Below are 7,344 nucleotides of genomic sequence, written 5' to 3'. Positions count from 1 at the left end.
CCTTTGTTAATTTCACATACTTTCAAATTTAATTTAGCAACTTGAGACTTCATTAACTTATTTCTTTATTTGTTAAAGTTGTTTATCCTTAAAAAGGGTTTGGCCAGGGCATGGTGGCTCACGCCTATAATCCCAACACTTTGGAAGTCTGAGGGGGGCAGATCACGAGGTCAGGAGATCAAGACCATCCTGGCCAACATGCTGAAACCCCGTCTCTACTAAAAACACAAAAATTAGCTGGGTGTGGTGGTGCGTGCCTGTAATCCCAGCTACTTGGGAGGCTGAGGCAGGAGAATCACTTGAACCAGGGAGTCGGAAGTTGCAGTGAGCCAAGATGGCGCCACTGCACTCCAGCCTGGCAACAGAGCGAGACACTGTCTCAAGAAAACAAAACCAAAAAAAAAAAGAGGGGGGGTTTGTTCCACAGAAATGAGATATCCAGAATGAATTTATGACTTTAGACTTATGTTTCAGTTAGGAAGTAATGTCTCTGCTGAAAGGGAGAAAAATACATCTTCAACAACACAGCTCTTTTTGGCCTATCTTGGAAAGTGTCCTTTTCCTGTTAATAGCAGTTAGTAGAAGACTCATAAGAAGAGATGGAAAGAGATTATGTGAGAGTTTTTTAGTGATGCTGTCTCCCCGATTTAAGGTACAAGAAATGCATCCACAATCCAACTGTTCATGTTCTATCCAGATTCTCAGTTTGAAAATATGAGCAGAGAGCAACATGATTGCAATCCTTGGAATATATAGTCTTCTCTGTGTTGCTGTGACTCTCTTTGGCAGTCCAGGTGATACAATTTTCCGTATTATTCCTGTTCAGTTAAAGTGAAGATATAAGTTATGTAGATGTTAATGACACCTCTGTATTGAGTTCTGTGTCTATCAATAAATGATGCCACACGAGCAAGCTGGAAAGCAGCAGACTTTGCCAATTGCCAATATTTTAATCTATATTAGAACACTATTTGCTTTAATAATTAAAGATAATTTCTTCCTGTAATCCCAGCACTTTGGGAGGCCGAGGTGGGCGGATCACCTGAGGTCAGGAGTTCGAGACCAGCCTCAACATGGAGAAACCCCGTCTCTACTAAAAATACAAAATTAGCCGGGCGTGGTGGTGCATGCCTGTAATCCCAGCTACTCGGGAGGCTGAGGTAGGAGAATTGCTTGAACCTGGGAGGCGGAGGTTGCGGTGAGCCGAGATCATGCCATTGTACTCCAGCCTGGGCAATAAGAGCGAAACTCCGTCTCAAAAAAAAAAAAAAAAAAAAAATTTCTTGCTGTTTTTTGGACTGTGGTCAAATCCATAGAGTAAACTCTGAGATTAATTCAGCTTGAACCTCCAAGCATGTTCAATTTCCATTCTTGAGGAAGTTAAAATGTTTATTTTTTGGCAATCTTTATCTCCTGATTAATTTTACGATTCCTTCTTTAAATTCTGCCTTCATGATCACAACCATATTATGGTTCGACATTTGAACAATGGTAGCACATTAGCCATTGTATAGAGCATAGGTTGGGGATGGAAAAGGGGGAAATAAAAGCATTAGGAATCCAGATGTTCTGGTCACCAGAAAATGGACTTATAGTATCTGACATGGTGACAATGAGAAAACTTGTTTAGCAGTCAGGCTCAGGGAATCATGAAATTTCTGAGCTCTAGAGAATCTTAAATTTGCATACTGTACAATCTAATACATCTCTCTTATGTTCATAGACAATGTAAGAGGAGGGGGTGGTGTTGTGGTTAGGGACAGAACCAGAATGGAATCCTCCAGGGTTCAATTCAATACTCTGTTTACTATACAACAGATCCTGTAAATAAAAGAATTGGGGCAGGATTTTGCAAACAAGTATCACCAAGTTCTCTTTGCTGATTCCCGTTTTGTTTGGAACTTGGAAACTCTGAACCAGGTATGGCTGCTCAGGTAGGGTCAAAGCGGGGAAGGAGTTGAGATTTTCTTTGATGTATTTCACGGTGTTAGAGTCTGCAAACTGGAACTAATTGAAGTTAAGAGACTTGGAATCTAATCTCAATTTTGACATTAACAATTTTAGGCAAATCACTAACTTGTCAGTAGTTTAGAGGCTTCCATTGTAAATTGGTGATTTGGCCTAAATCAGTGGTTCTCAAACTTTCTGGCATGCATCAGAATCACCTGGAGGCTTGTTAGAAAGGACTTGGCTGTGCCCAATGTCCCCTAAGTTTCTGGTTCACTAGGTTCAGGTGGGGCCTGAGAATTTGCCTTCCTCGTAAGTTTGCGTATTGTCTGAGCACCCCATGTTGAGAACCGGTGGCCTACAGATCATCTCAAAGGTCTTTTCCTGTATGAAAAATTATTAATTTTTTACCTCAACCTTTTCAGCAAAGGGAAGTTTATACTTTCATGGTGCTTGGAGTGGGTAGGGCAGGGAGGTGTTTACTTTTATTTTTTTTTGGTGAGACAGAGTCTCACTCCTTCACCCAGGCTGGAGTGCAGTGGCACAATCTCGGCTCACTGCAACCTCGCCTCCCGGGTTCAAGTGATTCTTGTGCCTCAGCCTCCTGAGTAGCTGGGATTACTAGGTGTGTGCCACCACACCCGGCTAATTTTTGTATTTTTAGTAGAGACAAGGTTTCACCATGTTGGCCAGGCTGGTCTCGAACTCCTGACCTCAGGTGATCCGCCTGTCTTGGCCTCCCAAAGTGCTGGGACTACAGATGTGAGCCACCGCGCCTGGCCACGAAGGGGTTTATTAATGAAACCAAGTTTTGTGAGATCTTCCGATGAGAGACACAAGTTATTTGAAGTATTATTTTAATATAGTGTTATGTAGAAAGCTACAAAGTTGTTGTAAGGGGAATGTGAGATATTCTACCTATCTGGCGAAAAGAAAATGTGGAGGAACTGTATCATACTGAGTGCATTATCGGCTTTAAAGTAGTGTCTTACCATGGAAACTCATCTCAAAACAAACTTTATTTATTTAAGTTGGAGTCAGTGGGAGTTGCCAACAAGAAAAAAATAGTTGTGAATCAGAACACTAAGTGAAAAAACATAAAACAAGAATTTGATGTTACTGCTATCTAAAGAATTCTTCAAGTAAGAATTTTTCAGTTACGTTTTATTGATTGATGTTCTTTCATAGTTAAAATAGCGTGAAGCCATGGTTTTAATCCCGCCTTACTCCTTTTTTGAGCTTGAATGCAAATATGCTTGGTTTTTTTTTTTTATTGCATTAAAGGCAATACTTTAATCATAACAAAGTAAAATGGGGAGTCCAAATGTATACAGTCAGTTCTTTGTTCCTGTTAGATATCACAGTTTGGCTTGTAGCAATCTCTCTTCAGGAATATGTATTGGCTGAGGTTAGCTGTGTATACTGGGAGTTTCAGGGATTACAGTTACTTTATGTACTATATGGTAACTCAGTTGCTGAGTGGACATACCACTTGCTTATTACACACTGCTTATTTGTTTTAGGCCCCGTTTTTAATAATAAATATTCCCAAGAGTTGGAACGCATCTTGTAAAAAGTAAAAATTGTATTTAAGATAGAAAAATATGCCCCGATATAAAATAATGTATTTTGCATTTGTTTAATCTAAAAATGACCACAGATCTTATGTAGGCCACTTAAAAAGGCGTGCCTTTTTTCTGGTCAAAGTTAAATGCGCTGGTGATCTACTTTTGTCTTAATGAGCTATGACCCTTGTAAAATGTAAATGTATAGAAAAGAAAGAAAATCAGCATACACCTCCCAGAGGCTTTCTGTTGGCTGAATAACAAAGCTAATGTTTTACCTTGTTTTCACTGACACAGCCGGGGGGAAGCCGTGGGAGGAAGGGTCTTGCCATGAAAGCGAGCCTGGTTGATCATTTAAAGACCATCTGGGAAACTTGTCTGCAAAGAGCTGGTGGGTGCCCTGGACACTAAGTGCCTGGTAGGGCACAACCATTGTCCTCACAGGAACACAAAGAGGAGCTCTGCAGCCTGTGTCGAGGTTCATCAGAGCTCCTTCTGGAGGAGAACAGGAATCTTTGGGAACTAATTCAGGAAGGTAAAGAAATTGTTTTCTTCAAAAGGATCTGGTCCTACCTCAATTGCTTTTGCTGCTTGTTCTTTTGTTTCAAATTTCACAAACGCAAATCCCTTTGGATCTCCAGTAGACTTATAATGTGGTATACCTACATAAACAACATTGCCCCATTTCCCAAAGACTCTTTCAATCCAGCTGTGATTAACATTTTTGGGAAGTAACTCCTATGATAAATTAAAAGCAATGTTAGAGTTTTTCACAATCAGAATGTCAATAAATTTTTAACTTAATTAAAAAAAGACTTTCTCTTTTAAGTCAGATTGATTTGACATGATTCGATGGTTTTGTTTGAGAAGTAATTATATCAGAAATTTAGAATGCATCTCATCACAGCTACAATCAAAATGTTAGAGAAGTGTTGGCGAGGATGTAGAGAAATTGCACCCCACACGCTTGGTTGGTGAAATACAAAATGGTGCAGCTGCTTTTGGGAAACAGCCTGGCCCTTCCTCAAATGGTTCAATACAGAGTTCCCATAGAGTGGGTCGGCAGTTCCGCTCCTCTTTCTTCCTCTCTCCCGCTTCCCACATACTTTCAGACCCTTCACACCGGAGTGTAGACTCTGTGAGAACCAGGTCTGGTCCTTTGCGTCACTGTCTCTCTCCAACATCTGGAACGAGTTCAGCACACAGCAGTGACTCAACATATTTTTAATCGAATAAATCAATAAGGAAGAGGCATACATACAGTGAGGTCATTAAGAGAATGGGCTCAGCCGGGCGCGGTGGCTCACACAGGTAATCCCAGCACTTTGGCAGGCCAAGGCGGGCGGATCACCTGAGGTCAGGAGTTCAAGACCAGCCTGGCCAACATGGTGAAACTCCGTCTCTACTAACAATACAAAAATTAGCCAGGCGTCGTGGCACATGCCTGTAATCCCAGCTACTCAGGAGGCTGAGGGAGGAAAATTGCTTGAACCCGGGAGGCAAAGGATGCAGTGAGCTGAGATCCTGCAACTGCACTCCAGCTTGGGCGACACAGGGAGACTCTGTCTCCAAAAAAAGATAAAAAGAGCGTGGGCTCTAGAGTTACCCTGCCTCGGTATGAATTCTGGCTCAACTTTTAACTGGAGGACCTTGCATTAGTTTACTAGGCCTCTTTGAGCCTCAGTTTGTTCATCTGTGAAATGGAATGGAAATAACACTTGGATTTTTGAGTGACAAGCGCTCAGCAAAAGCTTATTAAAAGTAAAGAAAATTCATTTCACAAAGGGTTAATAAGAATTGACTGCATAACCCTTTGTATCATGTAATATGGGGCATCATCTCTATAGATGAGTAAGATGTGGTCCCTGGCTACAAGATTATAATAAACTTTCACCCTAGTAGGAAAGAAATCTATAAAAGCCAAGAAAACGGCCTAGGTTTATGAAGAGTACACCAAGGCAAATGTACCACATTAGAAATCACACATTAGCAAAACTTACAATGTTCCCAAAAATGAACACAAAGGGAGACATAGTAATTTTGAAATAAATTTCTCTCTCAAAAATATTGTGTCACCGGTGAAAATGGTGATTTCTGTATGTTTCAAGTGGATAGGTTTTGGTCATCATGAAAATTTTATTTCATGCCTGCCTAATGTATCTCATTGGAAAACAATAAAAATTAGTACATTGAACTAAATATGTCAGAATGAATTCAAAAATACACTGCATTTTTGTCTTCCACTCTTCCTTTACAATGTATTCAGAGGGATTATTTTCCCTCCCATCCCTGGATCGTAACTTAGGCCGGTCCTGTGATTATGGGGCTCACTGTTAGATAATTGCAGTCCTAGTAGATTGCAACCCCAGTATCTCTACTAGGTTGTCTTCTTCCTCCTAGACTTAGGCTATAGAAAACACTATAGTAGGCCGGGCAAGAGTGGCTCACACCTGTAATCCCAGCACTTTGGGAGGTTGAGGCGGGCGGATCACAAGGTCAGGAGTTCGAGACCAGCCTGGCCAACATGGTGAAACCCCATCTCTACTGAAAAAAATACAAAAAAATTAGCTGGGTGTCATGGAGGGTGCCTGTAATCCCAGCTATTTGGGAGGCTGAGGCAGGAGAATCACTTGAACTCGGGAGGCAGAGGTTGCAGTGAGCCAAGACCACACCACGCACTCCAGCCCAGGCAACAGAGTGAGACTCTGGCTCACAAAAAAAGAAAAGAAAAGAAAAGAAAACACTACAGTAAAGAATTCACAGTTAAGAAACTTAACACCGTATGGGAAAACAAAATACAGATGGGAGACTGGGGCTATGACTTAATATATTGTATCCTTAGATTTACTAACTGTAGCTAATGACAACCAAATTAGGGAGAGTAGTTGGTACGAAAACTTCACAAGCTTCTGCAGGAGTTGAAAGATCAGTTATAGTTTGAGAATTGCAAAGTTTCTCAGAAAATTCTGAAAATCTACAGATGTTTTTGAATGTGTGGAAAATGGAATCATTGCAAGGTTTGCTAGTTAGGGTGCTCCTGATGTGGCTGTCTAACCACTGAGAAGTGTATCGCCAACATCCTTAAAGGAGAGGAGATTTCCATGAGAGGAAGGGGTGGAGGCGTGGGAGATAGCGTATTCTAACTCTCAGAAGATTAATATAGGAACTTTTGTAAGGAAATCATGGGTGTATCTTTACAAATAGTTTTTAATTTTTTTATTTCTTGTTTGTTTGTTTTTTTGGGACAGAGTCTCGCTGTGTCCCCCAGGCTGGAGTGCAGTGGTACGATCTCAGCTCATTGCAACCTCTGCCTCCCAGATTCAAGCGATTCTTGTGCCTCAGCCTCCTGAGTAGCTGGGATTACAGGCATGCGCCACCACACCTGGTTAATTTTTTGTAATTCTAGTAGAGTCGGGGTTTCACCATGTTGCCTCCTGAGCTCAGGAGGCTGGTCTCAAACTCCTGAGCTCAGGTGATCCTCCTGCCTCGGCCTTCCAAAGTGCTCAGATTACAGGTGTGAGTCACCATCCCCAGCCACCAACAATTTTTAAAAGATCCATTGAAGGAAATAGCTAAAGCAAAAGTTGACTGTTGTTAAGAAAGTCACTATAACCATAGGCTGTGTAAATAAGGGTTTACTATTGTCATGATCAAATATATATATATAGATATATATACATATATATATAAATATATATGGTGTATGTGTGTGTGTGTGTGCATATCTTTCTATAGTCCTAATATTGGGCAAAGGAGCCAAGTATCAATATTCTGCTCTCAACTTAAATAGTGGAGGTATTTTCACCACTCTTCTGTTAAGACTGGAATTTCA

The 7,344-nt window shown here is 41.0% G+C and overlaps 1 annotated feature.

Moving 5' to 3' along the window:
* Nucleotides 3,483-4,393: an enhancer, noted in NCBI's record as "OCT4-NANOG-H3K27ac-H3K4me1 hESC enhancer chr6:154863543-154864453 (GRCh37/hg19 assembly coordinates)". NCBI's record gives its function as "activates a minimal SCP1, AML or CMV promoter by ChIP-STARR-seq in naive H9 embryonic stem cells {active_cell/tissue: H9 hESC(naive)}" and the evidence as "EXISTENCE:reporter gene assay evidence [ECO:0000049][PMID:30033119]".

The sequence above is a fragment of the Homo sapiens genome, chromosome 6, assembly GCF_000001405.40.
Source record: "Homo sapiens chromosome 6, GRCh38.p14 Primary Assembly".
Classification (NCBI taxonomy): Eukaryota; Metazoa; Chordata; class Mammalia; order Primates; family Hominidae; genus Homo; species Homo sapiens.
The sequence above is the reverse complement of the archived record's forward strand: the minus strand, read 5'-3'. Positions and strand labels throughout refer to the sequence as shown.